Raw genomic sequence first — 25184 nt, 5'->3', positions numbered from 1 at the left:
TCTCATATACTACTAATGGGAGTTAAAATAGATATTAATTTTCTGGAAGGCAACTTGACCATATGAGACAAATGTCTAAAAATGTGTATACCCATTGGCCCAGAAATAATGCTTCCTGGAGTTCATCCTAAGGAAATAATAAGAGATGTGGGCAAAGTGATATGTGAAGAGTTATTCACCATAGTGCTTTTTTTCCCTTATAAATGCCCAGGAATTTGGGTTTTATTGGGCATATTTTGGTATAACTAGGCTATTAAACAATGCATGCCATTAAAAGTGTGGTTTTAGAAGACCACAAACCTGGGAAAATGTTCATAATGTATAAATGGTGAAAAAGAAAGGCTTAAAGTAATATGGATAACACGATACCTATTTTGGGGGGCAGGTTAGAAAATATGTTTGTAACGAGGAAAGCAGAGGAGGACATACATCCAACTGTAAGCAGTGATAATTATTATTATTGTTTTTGAGATGGAGTCGTGCTTTGTCACCCAGGCTGGAGTGCAGTGGTATGATCTTGGCTCACTGCAACCTCTGCCTCCCGGGTTCAAGCGATTCCTCTGCCTCAGCCTCCCAAGTAGCTGGGACTACAGGTGCATGCCACCACACCCGGCTAATTTTTGTATTTTTAGTAGAGACGAGGTTTTGCCATGTTGGCCAGGCTGGTCTTGAACTCCTGTCCTCAAGTGATCCAGCTGTCTTGGCCTCCTAAAGTGCTGGGATTACAGGCATGAGCCACCACATCTGGCCAGTGATTAGCTTCTTGTAATAGTCTTTCTCTTTGTACTTACTTGTATTTTCCAATATTTCCTTACTGAGCATATTTTCTTTTTATAATAAAAAATTTTAAGCTCTATCTGTATCAAACTATGAAAATCTGTGTTGTCTCAAATGTCTAGAGAGGAAGGCCAGCAATTCTACATTTCACCATTGGAAAAAATTAAAGCTTAAGTTTCACACGTAAAAGCTCATGGTAGACTTAACTAAATATCTATCATGAACAAATGAATTAAAATATTCCCCATATAGTGGAAAGAATCCTTACCAGTCATATATCTAATCTTCCAACTAAAGTATAATTTGGATCTATAATATACTTGATAAGTGATCTAAGCTTACTGGATTTAGAGACAGATTTTTTTATTCATGAAAAAGCTGGATCTTAGCTAAATTATAACCAATAGAAGCCAATCTGGAATCACAGCACCAATATTTGGTAACTACACTGGTCATTTAGGTGTAATTGTGCATGGTAAAGGCAAGAGTGGGTTTTAGTGAATAGATGCTCTTTGAAAAATCATTCTCAAATTGAAAAATTGACTTTTGGCCACTGTATTTGCTCTTTACTATGTCTAGTGTCATCATTCACCAGAGACTTTATTTTTCTATTATTTAATTAAGTTAATGAATTTATTTTACTTCAGACAGCGTCTCACTCTGTCACCCAGGCTAGAGTATGGTGATGCAATCACAGCTCACTATGGCCTCAAATCTCCTGGGCTCAGGTGATCTGCCTTTGCCTCCTGAGTAGCGGGGACTATAGTTGCATCCCTCCACATCTGGTTAATTTTATTTGTAAAGATGGGATCTCATTTTTTTGCCCAGGCTGTTCTCAAACTCCTGGGCCCAAGCGATCCCCCTCTCCTCAGCCTCCCAAAGTGCTGGGATTACAGGCGTGAGCCACCATGCCTAGCCAAGAATCTATTTTGAAATGCATGGTGACATAGTTTGGATGTGTGTCCCCTCCAAATCTCATGTTGAAATGTGATCCCCTAGTGACAGATGCTTGGGCTGATTCCTCATGAATGACTTGGTGTCATCCCCTTTGTAATGAGGGAATTCTTACTCTATTTGTTTATGTGAGACCTGGTTGTTTTAAAGAGGCTGGCATCTCTCTTTCTGCTCCCTTTCTTGCCATGTGACACACCTGCTCCTCTTCCACTTTTCACTATAAGTCAAAGCTTCCTGAGGCCTCACCAGAAGCCAAGTGGATGCTGGTGCCATTTTTGTGCAGCCCGAAGAACTGTAAGCCAAATAAACCTCTCTTCTTTATTACCCAGGCTCCGTTGTTCCTTTACAGCAACAGAAAATGAACTAACAAACATGGATAGGAACGTTATTAAGACTTCTTGCAGAGCACTTTTTATAAGTTCTTATTTAACAAATCCTATCCATAAAAATACCTAGGACAATAGATCCATTCAGAACCTCACTCAGTAACTTATCTTTACATTTGTAATTGTATAGATAAAAATATTTTTATAATCATCACATTTTGTGAAGTAAAAAGACAACTTTCAAAAATTAATATGAAGTTAAAGAAGCCAGATACACACACACACACACACACACACACACACACACACTGGTAGTCTGGTGCTATTTTAATCTCAATTTTATTAGTAAAATAATATGCAGAGAAAAATTTCTAGAAGGATTATAAGAAAATGTTAATGTTAATTATCTTTAGGGGGAAACATAATGAAATTTCAGAATAATAATAAAAGATTTCTAAGATCTACAGATGACAGTTCCTTTTGAGTAATATTGAATACAACACAGTATCAGAAAGAAATTGGACAAACCACAGGAGTGTGCTGCCTAAAAGAGGACCTTTTGCATTAAACAGGGTCATTCCTTTACTCTAAAATCCCATATTCTTTTCTTTTCTTTTCTTTTCTTTTCTTTTCTTTTCTTTTCTTTTCTTTTCTTTTCTTTCTTTCTGTCTGTCTGTCTGTCTGTCTGTCTGTCTGTCTTTCTTTCTTTCTTTCCTTTCTTTCCTTCCCTTCCTTCCCTCCCTTCCTTCCTTCCTTCCTTCTTTCTTTCTTTCTTCTTTTTCTTTTTTTTTTTTTTTTTGAGACAGAGTCTTGCTCTGTCGCCCAGACTGGAGTGTAGTGGTGTGATCTTGGGTCACTGCAACCTCTGCCTCCCGGATTCAAGCGATTCTCCTGCCTCAGCTACTGCCTCCTGAGTAGCTGGGATTATAGGTGCCCACCAGCACGCCCAGCTAATTTTTGTATTTTTAGTAGAGATGGGTTTTCTCCATGTTGGCCAGGCTGGTCTTGAACTCCTGACCTCAGGTGCTTCACCTGCCTCGGACTCCCAAAGTGCTGGGATTACAGGCGTGAGTCACTGTGCCTGGCCTAAAATACCATTTTCTATTCTGCTATCTATGTTACTGTTTTTGCCTGAAAATACCACCAAATACAGTAGTGGATCTCAACTTAAAAATATTTTTTTCAACAACATTATTGAGATATATATATATATATGTACATGGATGATTTGATCTCTGACCCCTGGGCACTATATCTGCTCCATGCCCCATATTTCCAAGAGTGGTTTGGGAACTACTGTTCTATATCTTTTAGTGTTTGATACATAAAGTTGACTTAGTACATTGTGCAATGATGGTGGTAAAATTACTTTTTCTTAGAACAGTGACTACTAAAATGTACAATAACGGAACTTATGTTCTATAGCTTAGAACATACTTCTTATTTTTAAATATTTTGTAAAGATGGAGACTTGCTGTGTTGCCCAGGCTGGTTTCAAACTCCTGGGCTCAAGTGATCCTCCCACTTCAGCCCCTCAAAGTGCTGGGATTACATATAGACATGAGCCACTGCATCTGACCCATATTTTCTTTTTCTTTCTTTCTTTCTTTTTCTTTCTTTTTTATTTTTATTTTTATTTTTTTGAGACAGAGTCTCATTCTGTCACCTACGCTGGAGTGCAGTGGCACAATCATAGCTCACTGCAGCCTCCTACTCCTGTGCCCAAACGATCCTCCCACCTTAGCCTCCTGAGTAGCTGGGATTTTTTTTTTTTTTTGAAACGGAGTCTTGCTCTGTCACCCAGGCTGGAGTGCAGTGGCTCGATCTCAACTCACTGCAAGCTCTGCCTTCCGGGTTCACGCCATTCTCCTGCCTCAGCCTCCCAAGTAGCTGGGACTACAGGCACCCACCACCATGCCAGGCTAATTTTTTTGTATTTTTAGTAGAGACGGGGTTTCACCGTGTTAGCCAGGATGTTCTCAATCTCCTGACCTCTTGATCCGCCTGTCTCAGCCTCCCAAAGTGCTGGGATTACAGGCGTGAGCCACTGCGCCCAGCCACCTGGCTAATTTTTGTAATTTTTGTAGAGACAGAGTTTCACCATGTTACCCAGGCTGATATCTAACTCCAGGGCTCAACTCACCTGTTGCCCAGGCTGGTCTCAAACTCACCTCGGCCTCCCAAACTGCTGAGATTACAGGCATGAGCCACCACACCTGGTCCCATACTGTCTAATTCTAGAAAATATTCTGAAAATTTTTGTTCACTAGTGGTCTCCTGGGAATTCTTTGAAACCCACGCAATTCCTATTGTATTTGTTTTAACAAGCTACTTGACTTTGTTACAATACAGTTAGAATGAGCTTATGCCTTAGGAATTGTATCTATGTTAGATTACTCTCCCTCAGTTTTCCCTGCCTGCCTGTCAAAAAGCAAAAACAAAACAAACAACAATAAAAAGTCCCTTTTTAGCATCATTGTATCTTTCTTCTCCTCTCTCCCTAGCTATCAGAGCTCATGATCCTTTTGGACTTAGTATAGTTTTATCTCATCTCCAATTTTACTTTTTTTTTTCCCTCGCTTTACTTCAGTACCAATGTAATCCTAAGGACTGCTGGTGAATTTTGCCAAATCCCTCTTTTTAAACCATGGATCTAGAGAATATAGAAGAAAAGAAATTTGCTTTAAAACTTGTTGCTGTTTTGTTTTGGAAGTGGCAGCTCAAAGTAGACTCAATAAATTAATGTTATTTTTCCACTTAAAATTAACTCAAGGAGAACTTTTTCAGGGATAAATGATGCTCACTAAGTGGAAGATGATAAGCAGAAAGGGGGCCTATAGAACAATGAAATCTATCCAATCATACAAAAAACTTCAGAACCTTGTGTTTATTTCAAATCTCTCTTTTTTTTTTTTTTCTGGAGTGCAGTGGTGCAATCTCAGCTTACTGCAGCCTCGACCTCTCGGACTCAAGCAATCCTTCTGCCTCAGTCCCTCAAGTAGCTGGAACTACAGGCATGTACCACCATGCCCCGCTAATTTTGTATTTTTTGTAGAGACATGGTTTCATCATGTTGCCCACGCTGGTCTCAAACTCCTGAGCTCAAGCGATCCACCCACCTTGGCCTTCCAAAGTGCTAGGATTTACAGGCATGGGCCACCGCACCTGGCCCAGATCTCATTATTAATAGAACAAATTGAAAAAATTGAGAGGTATTGGTAAGATTTTTAACAAACAGCAGGCCTATGAAGCAATGATAGCTAATTATATAAATAAAGACTATAACAAAAATGTGAGAAAATGAAATACTGAAGATACAAAAACTCAAAGAAATAATTAATTTAGCCTTATCCTTTGATAGGTAAGAATAAAGGAATGGTCATTAAAAGAGAAAATGGAAGAGACACCAGGACCTTGGATTCTATGCCAGCATACCAACTTCAGAAAGTGACATTAGGGAAAGATTTTACACTGATTCATGTTTGAAGTTGGGAGGAAGGAGAGCATGAGGAACAGATGTATTCTTACTATTTTTGTTATCTTCTGGATGGAATGTTACTTGATTATAGCAATCTCCTCTTACCACATCCCAATCTTTAGCCCTAAATATTATGAATAACCTGCTTTTTCCTGTAAAATGATTATGATCAACTAAAACTTATGCTACATTTTACATATTGATAGTATACATCCCTGCGTAGCATAGCAGAATTCACACTCTCTTAACTTACCAATCAAGAGAAAGATTCTGTCACATAAAAAATAAGAACACATGCCAGGCATGATGGCACGAGCGTGTAGTCCCAGCTACTTAGGAAGTTGAGGCAGGAGGATCACTTGAGCCCAGGAATTTGAGGCTGTAGTGAGCTATCATGGTGCTACTACACTTCAGCCTAGGCGACAGAGTGAGACCTCTGTCTCTAAAAATAAAATACATAATAAAAATACTAGTTCTTCAAAAAGTTAAATATAGAATTACCACATGATCCAGCAATTTTGCTTTAATTCTAGGTATGTACCAGAAGGACTGAAAACAAGGACTCAAACCTACCTGTACATCAATGTTCAGAGCAGCATTATTCACAGTAGCCAAAAGGAAAACAACTCAAATGTCCACTGACAGACGAATGGATAGACAAAATGTGGTCTATGCATAGAATAAAATTATATTCCATAGAGCGGAATATAATTCAGCCTTAAAAAGGAATGAAATTCTGATACATGCTACCACATGGATGAACCTTAAAAACATGATGCTGGCCGGGCGCGGTGGCTCACGCCCGTTATCCTAGCACTTTGGGAGGCCGAGGCGAGCAGATCACGAGGTCAGGAGATTTGAGACCGTCCTGGCTAACGCGGTGAAACCCCGTCTCTACTAAAAATACAAAAAAATTAGCCAGGCGTGGTGTCGGGCGCCTGTAGTCCCAGCTACTCCGGAGGCTGAGGCAGGAGAATGGCGTGAACCTGGGAAGCGGAGCTTGCAGTGAGCTGAGATCGCGCCACTGCACTCCAGCCTGGGCGATAGAGCGAGACTCTGTCTCCAAAAAACAAACAAACAAACAAAACATGATGCTAAGTGAAATATGCCAGATTGTATGATTCCACTTATAAGAGGTAAATGGAATAGTCAAATTCATAGAGACAGAAAACGTAATAGAGGTTACCTGGGGCTGGGGAAGAGTGGAATGTGGAGTTATTGTTTGATGGGTAAAGTTTCTGTTTGGGATGATAAAAAAACTTCTGGAAACGGTTGGTAGTGATGGTTGCACAGCGTGGCGAATGTACTTAATGCCGTTGAATCGAACACTTAAAAACGGTTGAAATACAAATTTTGTGCTATGTTTATTTTACCATGTTAAAAACACATATTAAAAAATAAAGGGGTCGCGGTCGCTATGGAGGAACCAGAGATGCAGCTCAAGGGGAAAAAAGTCACGGACAAATTCACTGAGAGTGTCTACGTCCTGGTGAACTGTGGCTGTCTGTGGCCCCGTACCGGCTGCAGGAGCACATGCGCCACTCCCTCCCCGGAGCTGGCCCAGCGCAAGGCAGACATGCAGCGTTGGGAGGAGTAGAGCCGGGGAGCCATCTACACCGTGGAGTACGCCTGCCGCGCCGTGAAGAACCTGGTGGACAGCAGCGTCTACTTCTGCAGCGTGGAAGGTCTGCTCAAACGGGCCATCAGCATCCGAGACCATAGGAATGCCAGTGCCCAGGGCCACAGGTAGGTCCTGGGACCGCCCGCCCCTGCTGCCACTCTCAGCCGCAAGGACTGTCTCTCAGCTGCGCTGGGAACCCGCTGCTTCTCGCTTATTAGAAAACTCTTTCCTCTTGTCAAAAAACTAAATTAAAAAATAAAATAAAATAAAGATAGGCCGGGCGCGGTGGCTCATTCCTGTAATCCCAGCACTTTGGGAGGCCGAGGCAAGTGGATCGCTTGAGGTCAGGAGTTCGAGACCAGTCTGGCCAACATGGTGAAATCCTGTCTCTACTAAAATACAAAAATCAGCCGGGCTTGGTGGCAGGTGCCTGTAATCCCAGCTACTCGGGAGGTTGAGGCAGGAGAATCGCTTGAACCTGGGAGGCAGAGGTTGCAGTGAGCCAGGATCATGCCACTGCACTCCAGCCTGGGCAACAGAGCAAGACTCCATCTCAAAAAAATAAATAAATAAAAAATAAAAACAAAAACACTAACAGTATTTAACCACGACAGAAATTTTAAAAAATGCCATAGCTTCATAGCAGAAATTGCTCTTGTTTTCAAATGTGCATTATAGTTTATATTTCTAAGCATAAATTTAATTTTAGTTTTACGTGTTTTTTAAACGTTGAGATAGACTATTGAACACTCTGCAGGGGAAAAATGTTTCATGCTGTTAACCAAACAAAGCTAAGCAGAGTTCTTATTAAGCTAACTTTAAAAAATCTCCACTGTATAGCATGCAGCCTTTTTCAAATGCAAATGACTCCAGACCTTTTAGTAATTCCTTGACCCAGTGTTCCTCGGGACACTGTAGACTATTGCTAACCAGCCACCTTCACAATATAATCTGAGGATTGGCCACCAGGACTGATTGATTGATAATCTTATTCCTTGTTGTTTGTTAATTATTTTATTCTTTCTACGATTTATGGATCAATCTAACACTTATTTATTACCAACATTGTGCCAATCACTATTCTAGGTGCCATTCAATGTCCTGATGAGCTTCCAATGCCTAGACGTGTGTAATCTAAAGTACCTTCTGTTTACTATTATCCTTGAGCCTGTCCAATCAAAGGCTTGCCTCATTTCACAGGGATCCATGTCACCTTTTGTATAAAACAAATGGGAGGAGAGGTTTCTTAGTTGGGATTGGCAGAGTCTAGTGTTGGAAGGAAGATCCTCTCTCTACCCACTGTTCACAGACCTTCTCTCTTGGGCCCTCAAGCAATGGGGAGTTCGCTTTTTCTGCAGTGTCACAGGTTCATACCACAAAACTATCTCTACTTTCCATTTAAGTGGATCTGGGGCATCTGGGCCAGAAACGTGGGATATACTGTTCTTTGGGACTTCTCTCTGGAATCCTGTTTTCCCAAGAGAGGAATCTCCTTGGCTATTGAGTCCCAGAGGCTTACTCATTTATTTATCAAAAATATACAGAGTATCTTCTAGAACCTGTAATTTTTCTTTTTTTTTTCCTTTTTCTTTCCTTCTTTTTTTTTTTTTTTTGGAGATAGAGTCTTGGTCTGTTGCCCAGGCTTGAGTGCGGGGGCATGATCTCGGCTCACTGCAACCTCTGTCTCCCAGGTTCAAGCGATTCTCCTGCCTCAGCCTCCTGAGTAGCTGAGATAACAGGCGTGGGCCACCACACCCAGCTAATTTTTGTATTTTTAGTAGAGACGGGGTTTCACCATCTTGGCCAGGCTGGTCTTGAACTCCTGACCTCGTGATCCACCTGCCTCGGCCTCCCAAAGTGCTGGGATTACAGGTGTGAGCCACCGCGCCCAGCCTAGAACCTGTAATTTTTTTTTTAACCAGGTCCTAGGAATATAAACATGAATAAAATTTTTTCCTTGACTAGAAAAACTAGGCACATATCAGCCTAACAAAAATTCACTGGGATAATGATACCCTATCAGCATCAACTGAGTTACAGCAATTCCAAATACCTACTGAGTGCTCATTATGCCAAGTATTATTCTAAGTATGTTACATGTATTATCTTGTTAGATATCCATAACAAACTTACGAGATTGTTACTTACATTCTTCCATTTTATAGATAAAGGAACAGGCAGTGGGTCCACAGTTATACCACTAAGAAATGGCAGAGCTGGGATTTGCACCCAAGCAGTTTGGCTCCAGAGTTGGCACTGTTAGTCACTATTCTACGATGTGTCTCTAGTGTTAGCATAAGGCAGTAGAGGAGAGGCCTCTCCTGTGAAAATCACAACCTAAGTGCTACTTGAGCTGGGTCTTGATGGTTGAGTCACATTTCGTTAAGTACCAGGTAGACATATGTATGAGGGGGGCAGAGGAGGAAAGGAAGAAGGGAATGCTGCACATATGGTTGTGTAAGTTGTGCACAAGGATGCCCAGGTAAGAAAATGCAGACAGGGGGCTGGAATCTATAGCCCCTCTGCTCGCTGAGCTGTGGATCCTGGCATGCCTCTTCACCACCTGGGGGAAAGGATGTACTTTGCATAAAGGTACTATATATTGTTCTTTCCATCTGGGTTCTGGGAGTCATCTTGTGGGATGGGTAAACTGTAGAAAATGTAAACTAGAAAAATTGAATTTAAAGGCTTTCTTCTGTTTGTCTTCCAATTCTTGTCCATAATTCTAGCACTTTAGTACTAAGTGTCATCAATGCTGCCTTCCTGTCATAACTGGGCCTGCCTGCCCCTCAAAATACCCCCCTATTTCAAAATTAATTCTTCCTTCTCCCTAGCCATAAGAACATTTCCAGCCGGGAGCAGTGGCTCACGCCTGTAATCCCAGCACTTTGGGAGGCCAAGGCGGGCAGATCACGAGGTCAGGAGATCGAGACCATCTTGGCTAACACGGTGAAACCCCGTCTCTACTAAAAATACAAAAAATTAGCCGGGCGTGGTGGCGGCCGCCTGTAGTCCCAGCTACTCGAGAGGCTGAGGCAGGAGAATGGCGTGAACCCAGGAGGCCGAGCTTGCAGTGAGCTGAGATCGAGCCACTGTACTCCAGCCTGGGCGACAGAGAGACTCCGTCTTAAAAAAAAAAGAACATTTCCACATTTTATTTATTTATTTCTATTAAAAAAATTTTTTTTTCAGAGACTGGGTCTCATTTGTGGCTCAGGTTAGAGTGCTGTGGCACAATCATAGCTCACTGTAGTCTCAAAGTCCTGGGCTCATGCGATTCTCCCACCTCAGCTTCCTGAGTAGCTGGGACTATAGGCACACACACCTGGCTAATTTTTTTTTTTTTTTTTTTTTGTAGATACAGGGTTCCTTTCATTATGTTGCCTAGGCTGGACTTGAACTCCTGGAGTCAAGCCATTCTCCTACTTCTACCTCCCAAAGTGCTGGGATTACAGACATGAGCCACTGCTTCCAGCCTATTTATTTATCTTTAAGAGACCAGTGTCTCTGTCACTCAGGCTTGAATGCAGTGGTGCAATCATAGCTCACTATAGCCTCAAACTCCTGGACACCTTCTGCCTCAGCCTCCCAAGTAGCTGTGCTACTACCCAACAGTCCCATGTTTTAAAATATAGTTTGGAACTGACTGGTTTCTTCATCGTTTATGTTAAGGTATGAATGACTTACAATCTTCCTTCAAATGCCAAAAAGAGATTGTTTAATGAATAAAAAGAACATCCAGGTAGTAAAGTTTTAGGCAGGGGAAGATGTTTTTGGATAGAGGGAACAATTAGCTTGTGGGTAAAATTCAAATGCCTAGCCACCTGTGTTCTGTTTAGGTTCAAGAACCTTGCAATGTAGTTCTCTTACTTGGCCTCTCCTTACAACTAACCTTGGAAATATACTACCGAGTGTATGTTTTAGATTGTCTCTCTTGCCCCTCCTTCAGGTCCCCTGTCAGTTCTGTTTCTTTGTTCTTCTGGGAGTTGGGCCATTGCTCCGTTGACATTGATGACTGTCCCTAGCTTACATATCCATGGATCCTTTTCCTAGATCCACACCAGTAAAAGTCATCTCCAGTCCTAGCCATGTCCCAATTTGGGTAGATGGACCCAGACCAAGAAGATTTTTTGAATATTCACCATGATGACCTGTCTCACCCCATGATCTAATATTAATTTAATATAAACACCACATTAAATAGGGTTGTGTATAGGTTGTTGTCCATAGCACTATAGTAAGTTTGCTGTTCTGGGAAGCCCAGAAATATTCTGTTGGCTTCCCCTCTCTTAAAGGTCTTCTTTTAAAGTGCAAATACTACAAGTGCGAATAGCACTTTCAACTCATTTACACTGAGGTGTTAGTGACTTTTTTGATGGCCTTTTTTTTTTTTCCTCTGGAGGAATTTAGCCAGGGAGATTAGAGAATGGGACAAGGGAGAAAAAAGAGAAGGAGAAAGAAAGAGACAAGAAAAAGGAAGAGGAGGAATAAACATAATTGAAATTGAATTATGCCTAAAGTCTAACTTTATCCTGTGGATACTTTTTACTTTGGGGACAACATTTTAGAATAACACCTAGGGAATGTACATTACTCATTAACTATACTTCTAAGGAAACCAAGGAGACCTATGCAGGTTTCCAAATGCACAATTTTAGACGTACTGATCCAGACATCTCATTGTATTTGAGGCAAACTTTCCTACTTGGTAAATAAGAAACAAGTTTCCTATTCATCTATTTCATGGACTCTGTGAATTCTTTAACATTTGTGAAATAATAAAAACTTTTTCTCAAAGTGTGACAACATTATGTATGCCTTTGGACATGTTTGATACGAGAAACATATTTCTTCTAAGCTATCTAAAGAAAAAAAATCTCTTATAAACAGTCAAGGTATCTTACAGAACTCAAGGGCAAGAAATGCAGCCACATTCCTTGAGGGACTGGAGCTGAGGACTGGAAAGTTGTCAGTGACTGAGGCAACTCTTGGGATATTTTTTCTTTTCCTGAAACTTATCCTCTTCCCCACTACACTTTCACCATAGTTGTTAATTTTTGCTATTTCTACGTTTCTACTCCTTTTTGCAGAATAGCTTTCTTAACTCCACTTTTATATGGCACATCATGTACAGTTGCCAGATTTGACAAGCAAAAATATAGCATGCCTGTATTTTATCTGGCAACTCTAAAATCATGCCTAGCCAATCCAGAGCCCTCATTTCCTGAGTCTAGCTGATCCATAACCCAGAGCTCATTTACAAGACTCTCTGCGTCCTTATTCAAAAGGCAGGAGGATGAATCTAATTAGTCCAGCTTGGTCCACTGTCCAGACCTGATCACATCTTGTGTTGCTGGAATTAGTGACAATGAGAGTCACAGGGCCCATCTCCTAGGTGGGAAGCATTGTTAGAAAAGGGAAAAGTGCTGATAATTCAGCTCAAAATGTTATTGACTAGATATAAATGTAGGCCCTAAGTAAACATTGCTATACATATAGAAGTTGCTCTTGCAAACTTCTTGAGGTCATAGAATAAGTTTTATTGGTCTTTGTATGTCCTGGTGCCTGGCATCTGGTGCTCTATACCTATTGGTGAATTGTGTTAAACAGGAAAAATTTCAAAAATTATTCTATTAATTTGAATATCTGAAAATGTGGAGGGAAACCAAGGCAACTTTCCAGAAGTGGTGTTCTAAGTGGCTGACCATGTTGCTTTTAGTGAATAGTACAATAAGGCATCAAATGGGGACCTGGCGTCAAGAGTCACTGAAAAGCTCAGTGACTTAAAAATAGCTTAAATTTTTTATCCTCAGCCCATTTTATCAAACAGATATCTTTTAGAAGATAAAAACATTACTCCAGCAAGATTAATATATTAGCCAATCACTAAGAGGATAATTATTTTATTAAAATTTCAGATTAAATGCTCTTCTCTTAATAAACCTTTTATAAGGGGCCATTGCTCTTTTATTTTCTTTCTTCTCTTTAGGCCGTTCATAATATTCTTTACATAATGATTAACCCTTTCTTTCAGGTTCCTTAATGCATAGGAGTAGCTAGCGACTTTTTACTTATTACCTATTGCTTATATGATGCTAACTAAAGATGGGATAAAAACCATTTGCCTTAGCAACATCTAAAGCAGTGATGGCTAAATGCCATGGTACCATAATTTACTTCTTATGGGAGACAGACCACGGAAAGAAGAAATTAAAGTAGGATCACATGATCTAGGCTTGAAGACACATGATTTAGGTTTAAATCTCAGCTCTACTTGTAACTCACTGTGATGCCTTAGGTGTTTCATAACGTCTTTAAGTCTTGGTTTCTACAAAGCAAAGATAAATATGGCTGCCCAGGCCACCTGCCAGAGTCATTAATCAAATGAGATAATGTAGGTGAAAGTGTTTTGTAAACTATAAGACACTTCACAAACAAGTTTTTTTGTTGTTATTATCCAATAAAAGATGCTTATAAGTCATATTAATGTCTAAGAAAAAATAGCATTACTACGTTGATGGCTACTATGAGCTAGAGGTATAAGCTATAAAGATAGAATTATTCAAGGAAAAATAAATATGTACTAACTTTTCTTTTCTTTTTTTTTGAGAGAGAGTCTCGCTCTCTTGCCCAGGCTGGAGTGCAGTGGCATGATCTCGGCTCACTGCAGCCTCCGTCTCCTGAGTTCAAGCAATTCTCTTGCCTCAGCCTCCCGAGTAGGTGGGATTACAGGTGTGTGCCACCATGCCTGGCTAATTTTTGTACTTTTAGTAGAGACAGGGTTTCACCATGTTGGCCAGGCTGGTCTTGAACTCCTGACCTCAGGTGATCCGCCAGCCTCAGCCTCCCGAAAAGCTGGGATTACAGGCGTGAGCCACTGTGCCCGGTCTGTACTATCTTTAAGGACACAATTTTCCTATTGCTTATTATTTTTTAATGTATAAGATGAACAGAGAGCACACTAGGCTTGAGAGAAACACGAGCCCCTAAAACAACAAAAAATGTGGTTAACAAAGCCTTAATGATTTTGGTCTTTAACAACGGACTGCCTTGATAAGCATGGGAGTCTTTGAAACCTCCCCTGTTTAATTTCTATGCCTGTGCCATTGTCTCATCCCATATCCTCATTTTTGTTGGAATCTCCAGACAAAAGGCAGGGCATAGGTGTTTGTACATCCTCTGCCCCACATAGAAATATCAGTATCTACTCTCTTCTCATTTCATTTTTCTCCACAGTCTTAAGCCTCCCTATTTAGAGAAAATGAGAACTAGCTCTTCCTCACAAACGATGGGAGACCTGTGGAAAAGCAAAGCTTTCTCTACCGCTGAAAGCTCCTTTCTTCTTATAATGAGTGTGGAACATATTGGTTTTATCTGTGGTGATTTTTAGGCCCTAACTGGGGCCTGATACACATTGGTGCCCAATACATAATTATCAAATACACAAATTGATTGACTGTAGCTTGCCTGAATTATTATATTCTCAAGACGGGATATCAATATCTTTTTGCTAATTAATCCATTTAACTGTATAAAGATGATATTATAAGGACTTTGACCTTGGAGTTGTCTATGGATGCAATTCCTCAATATACACTAGTTGTGGAACAGCATACTATTATTAAATCAAATACTTACGACTTGCCTTACTTGGGAAACACTTGTAAATATCCATTTTGAGTATTGATAAGGCAATGTCTAGATCCTCTTTTGTATTACTGGTTTTATTATTTTTTATCATTTAAAATGTTAAAGTCAGTTGAATTCATGTCTAGCCAAACTGAATTGAATTTCAAGTCTATGCTGTTAAGTTTGATTAACATCTACAAAGGGAAGGAAAGCAGGCTATTTCCAGGCAAGTTTTATGTTTACAAGTTGTGGAAAGATTGCCTATTTTAACCAGTGGAATTGATCTTGGAATGATGAACTTTTAAAACAAGATGGACTATGGCCAATTAGACCCAGAGATACAGAAAATGAATTATAAAAACAACATATAGGAAAGATAGAGTTGCATTGATGGGCAGCTTTTAATAAAAAATTTAAGCACTGTTATTATTCTATTAATTTTGTTAGATTCATACATAAATTTTGTACTTGGAGCATTGGAACTAGTTAATATATCAGGTTTGCTCATCTACTTACTGCAGAGTCTGTAATTGCTTGTCATTTTATGATGCTTTATTTGTTTCATGCTGGTGTTCACCATCACTATCAAGGTTTATAGAATTCTGCCCTTGTTTGCAGTGTCCATCTTCTTTTCTTATTCTTGCCAGAAAAAAAGTTAGCTGCACCTTGTTGCTCTCCTCTGTGCCTTGTCTCTTGCTTAGGTCCCAAGTTTCTGCCTAACTGGTTGGAGGAATACTTCTGGGCTTGCCACTGTAATTTGTTTAATCAGGTCCAGGTCATGGGAACAGAGCAATGATTCTGAGAATGATTTGCCCTCAGCTGAGATCTGGCCACCCTAGAGAATAGACTTCATGTTATGGAAACAACAGCATGCTGTTTCAAAGCAGGGGACACGTAGCCCTGAGAAATCATTTGGGGAAAAAAATTTGAAGATTAACCTGAAAATGGGGAATGCTGGAACAAAATACCTGCCATGCTTGAATGGCAATTCCATTGGTCGTATACTTTGCCTCAATTGTCTGGCCTTAGTTAAAATGATTATATTTTCTTGTTGCTTCTATTTCAGAAGCGAGCACATTCATATATCAGTCAAATCTTTCCTTTTGGATACCACTGAAACCTTTTCTGTATTATAATTAAATTATAATTATTAACTCATTTATCAAAATAAAATTTCTCTAGCAAAGAACTAGATATAACAATTTTAAAAAGTTATAGGCCCGGCGTGGGGCTCATGCCTGTAATCCCAGCCCTCTGGGACGCCAAGGTGGGCGAATTACTTGAGCTCAGGAGTTCGAGACCAGCCTGGGCAACATGGCAAAAACCTGTCTCTACAAAAAATACAAAAATTATCTAGGCATGGTGGCACACGCCTATAGTCCCAGCTACTTGTGGGGCTAAGGCAGGAGGATGGCTTGAGCCTGGGAGGTCAAGACTGCAGTGAGCTGAGATTGTGCCACTGCACTTCAGCCGGGGTGACAAAGTGAGACTCTGTCTCCAAAAAATAAAAATAAAAATTTAAAAATTTATATTATCAACCCACCTTATTAATCAGAAGAAAAAGAAAGAAAAAAATGTTATAATAAAGGGAACATTTTGACATTCTCCAAAGATGTCTCTGGGTATTAAAGGCAGACCACTAGAATAATGGTACAGTAACATAATAGCTCTATTCTTATTCTACCCTCATGTTTGCTCACATATACAGTAGACTTAGTAATTGCATAAATGCCTTTAGCCTCAACGTGCTATAAGGGTTTTGTAAAATTATATCTAAGAACCACTTTTGTTCCATTTGGAACTTTCCCATGGAAAGTAATTAAAATTTCCTTTTTTCCCCCACAAACTTTTTCTTAAAGTATTATTTGCTGACCCCAAAAGGATTTGGGAAACAATAATGGATATTTACTTAAAGTGAATGCTGTGGAACATGTGAATAAAAACAAACTTGAGCTATGGTAGTATTCTTTGGATATTACAATTTTAAATATGTTCCTGTTGGGCACGGTTGTTCACATCTGTAATCCCAGCATTTTGGGAGGATGAAGGGAGAAGATGGTTTGAGTCCAGGAGTTGGCAAGTAGCCTGGGCAACATAGTGAGATCTCCATCTCTACAAAAAAATTTTTTAAAAAATTAACCAGGTAGGCTGGGTGCAGTGGCTCACGCCTGTAATCCCAGCACTTTGGGAGGCCGAGGTGGGCGGATCATGAGGTCAAGAGATCGAGACCATCCTGGCGAACACGGTGAAACCCCATCTCTACTAAAAATACAAAAATTAGCTTGGGGTGGTGGTGCGCACCTGTAGTCCCAGCTACTCGGGAGGCTGAGGCAGGAGAATCACTTAAACCTGGGAGGTGGAGGTTACAGTGAGCCCAGATGGTACTACTGCACTCCAACTTGATGACAGAGCAAGACTCTGTCTCAAAAAAAAAAAAAAAAAAAAATTAGCCAGGTGTGGTGGCACTCACCTGTTGTCCCAGCTCTTGGAAGGCAGAGATAGGAGGATCCTTGAGCCCAGGAGTCCGAGGTTATAGTGAGCTATGATTGTGCCATTGTGCTCCAGCCTGGGTGACAGAGCAAGACCCTGTCTGGGGAAAACAAAAAAAAGCTTGCTTATTTTCAGTTCAAAATACTATTAAAATAAACTTCGCGGCTAGGCAAGGTGGCTCACGCCTGTAATCCCAGCACTTTGGGAGGCTGAGGTGGGTGGATCACGGGGTCAGGAGATCGAGACCATCCTGGCCAACGTGGTGAAACTCCGTCTCTACTAAAATAGAAAAAATTAGCTGGGCATGGTGGCACGCACCTATAGTCCCAGCTACATAGGAGGCTGAGGCAGGGGAATTGCTTGAACCCGGGAGGCGGAGGTTGCAGTGAGCTGAGATTGCACCACTACACTACAGCCTGGGTGACAGAGCAAGACTCTGTCTCAAAAAAAAAAAAAAAAAAAAGTTTGCCATATGCACAGGATTCCTAATGATTGACTTATGATTGTTGCAAATCCAGCTAGAACATAATATTTGGAAAAATCTGGTCTTTACTGGCAATCCAGTCAAGGGCGGGGGTTGGTGTGGTAAGACATGAGGTTCTCATAACACAGTGGCCAGAGGAAAAGAAAATAAGTCTTTTGTGTCCTTATCATGTTTGTGTAAAAAAAAAAAAAAGAGCTGCTCTAAAAAATTGCGTAATAGAAAGTACTCAGAGCTTTAAAAGATTGCAATACACAGGACATGCATGTCATTTAATTATGCACTGATTTACCTGTTCAGACATGTCTTTGCTGTCCCTGGGTATTCATTAGAAGTTCAACTATAGTTACAATGAAGATTTTAAGTACTTAGCAACATACATATACAGCATTTGTATAATTACACGGAGCAATAAAGTTTGTTTTAGAGTTAGATACGTGCATATAAAACAAATGACATTTCCTAAGATTATCCTTCCATGTATTAATTTTCAGCTGAAAAAAAGACATAACTTTGCCAGTAAAAATCTATTTTTTCCCACCAGTTCTGAAATTTAGTGTATTAGGTAATCGAGTTTTATCAGAATGCATGCATGTCAACTGTTGTTTAACTTGAGGTTTACACGTAAGCTCTTAGGCAGATTTAAAATATGATAAGCTTATTGAGACTGTATCCAAACTGTTTTGCCCTCCTTTGGCAATCTTTCAAAGGCTATATATATATATATATATATATATATATATATATATGTATGTATATATGTAAAGTCCCCTCTCTTCCTTCAACTCTTACTGAATTGGTTAATGTTCCCAATATTACAGAATTTGTAGTACACAAAGAAAGTAGACCAAATAATTAAATACTAGCTCTGTATTCTCTCTTCCTTCAACTCTTACTGAATTGGTTAATGTTCCCAATATTACAGAATTTGTAGTACACAAAGAAAGTAGACCAAATAATTAAATACTAGCTCTGTATTGCAGGAACAACCAGAATTCAAGATAAGAATAGAGAAATTTCTAGGAGTCTTTCTTTTCTTTATGAGTAAGCCTACCACACCCATCAGAAGATGACAAAGTTCAATGGGTGAATAAGTACAAGCTTCCCTTGAAACAGTGGTTCGCAGATTTTTTTTCAGTGACTCTTTTACTAACAAAATGCCGCATATCCCCTACCCTTTTTCCTGGTAATAAGTGCTTTTCTTTTCGTTTCTTTCTTTCTTTCTTTCTTTTTTTTTTTTTTTTTTTGAGACAGGCTCTCACTCTGTCACCCAGGTTGGAGTGCAGTGGTGCCATCATGGCTCACTGCAACCTCAGACTGCCAGGCTCGCATGATCCTCCCACCTCACTCTCCTGAATAGCTGGGACTGCAGGTGCATGACATCAAGTCCAGGTAATTTTTTAATTTTTATTTTTAGTAGAGACGAGGTCTCGCTATGTTGCAGAGGCTGATCTTGAAACCCTAGGCTCAAGTGATCCTCCAGCCTCCCAAAGTGTTGGAATTACAGGTCTGAGCCACCATGCCTGGCAATAAATACCTTTCTGAAGGCTACTTCTGAAGTGGTTCGTAAGCCAATCCCTTACTAACTTAATACCTCCCAAATTTAACGGCAGTTTAATGCTCCAAGAATACAAACATGAAGGCTCTTAGGAATAAGCCAATAAGTTTAATTGTGATAGGATAGTGCTTGAATGTAAGAAAATAGGGAAATACAAGCCTTTAATGCCTTTTTGTCTAAGAAGGGAAGACTCATATAGAAATAGTCATGCTTTAAAAATGTTAATGATGCTATTGTGGCGGTAATCTAGGACTATGGGTCCTGATAGAAATTCTCGATGGTTGGAAAAGGGGATAAAATATTCGAAACCACCAAGCATTCCTCCCTGCAACTCCTCCACAAATGGTGGGAATGTGTATTTGTCTTGGGGTTTACCACCTTCCTTTGTTTAGAGAGGACTCATATATCATGAGCAAAGTATCTGTAAATTAATTAAGTAAATAGCAATTTTTAAAGGTGGGTATTTGTAAATTAAGTGCCCACAATTACCTTTGGGGAAGCCCATTGATAAAGTCATCCCCAAATAGATACTAAGTCTGCTGAATTCTTTTGGGGGTAACTGTCTCTTGGAAGACACTTTGGTTACATGACCTGGCTCTGCCTCTTCTAGCTGAGCCTAAGACAGGGCTTGGGGATATGTTATTTGTGAGAGGAGAGATAGAAAAGAAGAGCTTTTATCTTGAGAATGTTAAATGGTTTCTGTGAACATCCCAGAAGCCTGGGGCCCAAAGAAAGAGTCTGCCTGAAGAGTCCCTTTGAAATGGCATGCCAATAGACTCTAGGTTCTAGGATGAACATCTCACATAAACATTCATATTTTCCTTTTCTTTATTATAATCCCTTGCAACTTCTTCAAGCCTTAGTAAAATATGCTAAAATGTTGGTTAGTAGTATTTTCTGAATTCAAGGTGTGGGGGGATCCATTTCTTCTTTCTTTCTTTTTTTTTTTTTTGAGAAGGAGTCTCACTCTGTCGCTCAGGCTGGAGTGCAGTGGCATGATCTCAGCTCACTGCAGTCTCCACCTTCTGGGTTCAAGCAGTTCTCCTGCCTCAGCCTCCTGAGTAGCTGGGACCACAGGGGCGCGCCACCAAACCCGGCTAATTTTTGTATTTTCAGTAGAGATGGGGTTTTGCCATATTGGCCAGGCTGGTCTGAGGGCATCCATTTCTATGTTTTTGGCGGAATCTGTGTCTATATTCTGGGGAGACTAAATAGCCTCCAGCCAGCGTGATCAGTGGAGAAATCTGATGTAGCAGCCCAGAGGGAGTTGACCCAAAACACCCATGATGGATTTGTGAAACATGAGAATTTACTATCTTCATAAAATCTAGGGGTGGGACTAGACTCCCTGCATTCCCTTGGATGAAGGCTCTTATCCTTTTTATTTAGCAATTATAGAGAAAGGTGACCCACATAGGCTAGTGAAGTTGTGTTACATAATTCATTTTGTAAAAATGTATGAAAGTTAGTCAGGCATGGTGGTGCACACCTGTAGTCCCAGCTACTCAGGAGGCTGTGATGGGAGGATCACCTGAGCCCAGGAGCTCAAGGTTATAGTGAGCTATGATTGTGCCACTGTGCTCCAGCCTGGGTGACAGAGGAAGTCCCCATCCTTAAAAACAAAAACAAAAAAGGATGTAAGAAATAAAATCCTATGTCACCCTGATGAACTAGTATCTGGTAGTAAAGTAAGAGGATCATGTTAGATAATTTCAGAACAACTTGGAGGATGAAAAAAGGAAGCTTTAAATATAAAAGTCTGGCTGGGCGTGATGGCTCACGCCTGTAATCCCAGCACTTTGGGAGGCCCAGGCGGGCGGATCACGAGGTCAAGAGTTCGAGACCAGCCTGACCAACATAGTGAAACCCCGTCTCCACTAAAAATACAAAAATTAGCTGGGCGTAGTGGCGCGCGCCTGTGATCCCAGCTACTTGGGAGGCTGGGGCAGGAGAATAGGTTGAACCCGGGAGGCGGAGGTTGCAGTGAGCTGAGATCGCACCACTGCATTCCAGCCTGGGCGACAGGGCGAGACTCCGTCTCAAAAAAAAAAAAAAAAAGTCTATTACCTCTCTGCTAAATGCGATACTTTACTATTATGTAAGAGCATATGCAAAAAATACACAGGCATACCAAAAGAATAACTTTAAGTGCATATTAATAAAACATCATAAAACGACTATGGTTTGCTCATTATGGTGGGAAATGCACACACACACACAAAGCTAGGAAACACGTTCCTGCCCTTTAGAAGTTTACCATTATAAAGTCCAATTTGAATTACAAATTGAGAGACACATATGACAGACCAAAGAAAGCATGTGCAGAAATCAGTATCTGTTTTCCAAACAGGACATACCACTCTTGACCACAATGTCGAGGAAGGCATAGAATGAGGTGACCACTCTCAAACCAGATTTGGAACAAGTAAGAGGAGCCGGCAGTGGCAGTTCTTCAGAAGAATGGTTGAGATTATCAGTGGGATGCAAGTGGGCCCTCTACTTTGTCAGACATGTTTGTTTCTCCTCAGCAGGGAGGAGAATGGAGCAGTCCACTAAGGGAGGGACTATTTAGTACAGAAGTCCAGAGCAGAAACTCTAAAGCCATACTACCTGATTTCCAACTTAGGCAAGTGACTTCATTAATCCACCTATTTTTCTCAAGAGATCCCCTTATTTTCAAGGACAATAATCAATCTAGATGAATCACTAAAGTGGTGATGTTTTATGACTTGCTTTAAATATTTCCAACCAGGTGTAGATGAAGTCTTATGTGATGATTCTGGATGCAATTGGTTTCTGCCTACTCTGGATTCATTTTGAAATTAAAATTAATCTTTTTTGGGAGCAATGGAATTATACTAAGGTGGCTTCTTTTCCTATAATTGAGTTTAGGCCTGTGTCTTTCTAGACCTAGGATACAGATGGACTCACGGGCCATTTCCAGGTTGATTAGGAGCAAATATATTGGCTATAGACTAGTAGTGCCATTAGAATGATTTCTGTTGCCTCTATGGTGTTTCTGCTGTAGCCTACCTCCCAGTGACATGGCAGTCTTTTTTTTTTTTTTTTTTTTTTAGTATTTATTGATCATTCTTGGGTGTTTCTCGGAGAGGGGGATTTGGCAGGGCATAGGACAATAGTGGAGGGAAGGTCAGCAGATAAACATGTGAACAAAGGTCTCTGGTTTTCCTAGGCAGAGGGCCCTGCCGCCTTCCACAGTGTTTGTGTCCCTGGGTACTTGAGATTAGGGAGTGGTGATGACTCTTAACGAGTACGCTGCCTTCAAGCATCTGTTTAACAAAGCACATCTTGCACTGCCCTTAATCCATTTAACCCTGAGTTGACACAGCACATGTTTCAGAGAGCACGGGGTTGGTGGTAAGGTTATAGATTAACAGCATCCCAAGGCAGAATAATTTTTCTTAGTACAGAACAAAATGGAGTCTCCTATGTCTACTTCCTTCTACACAGACACAGCAACAATCTGATCTCTCTTTCTTTTCCCCACATTTCCCCCTTTTCTATTCGACAAAACTGCCATTGTCATCATGGCCCGTTCTCAATGAGCTGTTGGGTACATCTCCCAGACGGGGTGGCAGCTGGGCAGAGGAGCCCCCCACCTCCCAGATGGGGCGGACATGGCAGTCTTACAGAGTGAAGGGAGCAATGGCAGAAGAAGAGCCAACAGGTATTTCTACGATTGGTATAAGACAGAAATTGTGTAGTCTGGTTTATTGAGAAGTTTTATAGGGCCATGTTGGTTTGAAAGTACTAACAGCAGTATTCTACAACACTAAATGCATTCTCTTGAAATCCTAAACTGCCTTTAAAAAAAAAGTGTTGTGCTATTAAAAATTGTAGCGAATACATTACATTTAATTTCTTTCTTTTTAAAAAAAATTTTAAAAGACAGGGTCTTGATCTGTTACCAGGCTGGAGTGCAGTGGTGTAATCATAGCTTACTGAAGCCTCAAACTCAAATCTCCTGCTTTAGCCTCCCGAGTAGCTGGGATTATAGGTGCAAGCCCCCACACTTGGCTTAATTTCTGCCCTTTAAAAAGAAAAAGTATGGCAGTGCAATTGTTCTGTACTACATAAACTTTGTTTAACAATAGTCAGTTTTTTCTGTAGTATAGTACTTTTCTGAGCTGACATTAAAATGTGAACTAAAGACTGGGAAAAGAAAGGTAGGAGAAAGGTGGATAATAAAAAACAAACAATACTACACAGGAAAGGGCTGGATATAAAAATATGCTCCAAATACTTTTAACAAAGTGTAGTTTTTGTTGTTGTTGTTTTGTTTCTTTTTTTTGAGACAGGGTCTCACTCTGTCACCCTGGCTAGAGTGCAGTGGTGTGACCTTGGCTTACTGCAACCTCTGCCTCCTGGGTTCAAGCAATTCTCCTGCCTCAGCCTCCCGAGTAATTGGGATTACAGGCCCCCACCACCACACCCGGCTAATTTTGTATTTTTTTTTTAGTAGAGACAGGGTTTCACCATGTTGGCCAGGCTGGTCTCCAACTTGTGACCTCAAGTGATCCACCCACTTCAGCCTCCCAAAATGCTGGGATTACAGGTGTAAGCCACCGTGCCCAGCCAAAGTGTAGTTTTTATACTTGCAATATTTCAGATAAGAGTTCTAGGAACTACACAAAGATTCAATGAATCATTGTTCAACTTTTCTTGAAGATAGCACTATCCTTAGTTTTATAGATGGACAATCTAAACTACATGTTAAAAGAGAAAATCACTGCAGGTAACAAAGCCAGGGCTCCTGATTCTTGGTTCCTGCGTCAGCCACTCTCTCCTCTGAATAAGTTCCAACAGTCTGGAAACTTTGATCTAGAATCTTTTGTCTAGACGTTTCCCAGAAAGAAATTACCCTTACTATTGTGCATTTATCATGGCTAGAATAAAAATCTGCTTTTGCATTCTGCCACTTTTATTTGAGATGGACATGTGAGACATTGCAAAATGCTGAAATTTGCCAATAGTGGCAGTTCAGTTACCTGGTCTCATCTGAAGTGTCTTTCTTTCCCATATACAGTCTGTACTGTACTCAAAACTTCTTAATTTCTCATTTCTTTGAGCCCCTTAGAGCTAAGAAACTAGTCTGCTAGGAAGTTTCTCCCTCATATGTAATTACAACATCCTGAGCGAACTTGAGATCAAGTGGTTGGGGATGACCTGAGCCCATGGACAAACCACATGATGTCAAGATTAGGTCCTCCAGAGTTCCATTCCTTCTCAGCCCAAATACTGAATGGAGTATGGAGCAGCAGATTTCTTAAATTAGTAGCAGATTACTTGAAGTTAGAGTCACTTTAGTGCTCAGTGGACGCAAGGTACTCCTTTGGCTAATTTAAAGTCTTAGGCCTGGCTGAGATATGCAGTAAAAACAGCAAAATTTGTTTTATCCCTTAAGATCTCAAAGGTCTGGCTGGGCACAGTGGCTCATGCCTGTAATCCCAGCACTTTGGGAGACCGAGGAAGGTGGATCACTTGAGGCCAGGGGTTTGAGACCAGCCTGACCAACATGGCAAAACCCTGTTTACTAAAAATACAAAAATTAGCAGGGCATGGTGTTGCATGCCTGTAATCCCAGTTACTAGGGAGGCTGAGGCATGGGCATCTCTTGAACCCGGGAGGCAGAGGTTGCAATGAGCCAAGATGGTGCCACTGCCTTCCAGCCTGGGCAACAGAGCGAGACTCCATCTAAAAGAAAAAAAACAAAACAAAAGAAGATCTCAAAGGTCTGTACCCTAAGGTTCTTTCTCTTCAGTTGAATATTTCCTTGGCCTGAATAAGGAAAACTGTAACTAAGTAGTAAATTGTCGCAGTCTGCATCTTTTTTTTTTTTTTTTTTTTTT

At 40.6% G+C, this 25184-nt stretch overlaps 1 pseudogene, besides 1 other annotated feature; it reads left to right on the top strand.

Annotated features, from left to right (window-relative positions):
* Positions 6940-7393, top strand: BORCS8P1 (BORCS8 pseudogene 1; annotated as a pseudogene).
* Positions 22434-22634: a silencer, noted in NCBI's record as "peak1590 fragment used in MPRA reporter construct". NCBI's record gives its function as "represses an SCP1 promoter by STARR-seq MPRAs in K562 erythroleukemia cells {active_cell/tissue: K562}" and the evidence as "EXISTENCE:reporter gene assay evidence [ECO:0000049][PMID:32103011]".

The sequence above is a fragment of the Homo sapiens genome, chromosome 12 (assembly GCF_000001405.40).
Source record: "Homo sapiens chromosome 12, GRCh38.p14 Primary Assembly".
In the NCBI taxonomy this organism is placed as follows: Eukaryota; Metazoa; Chordata; class Mammalia; order Primates; family Hominidae; genus Homo; species Homo sapiens.
Note: the sequence above shows the minus strand (reverse complement) of the source record. Positions and strands in the feature narration are given on the sequence as shown.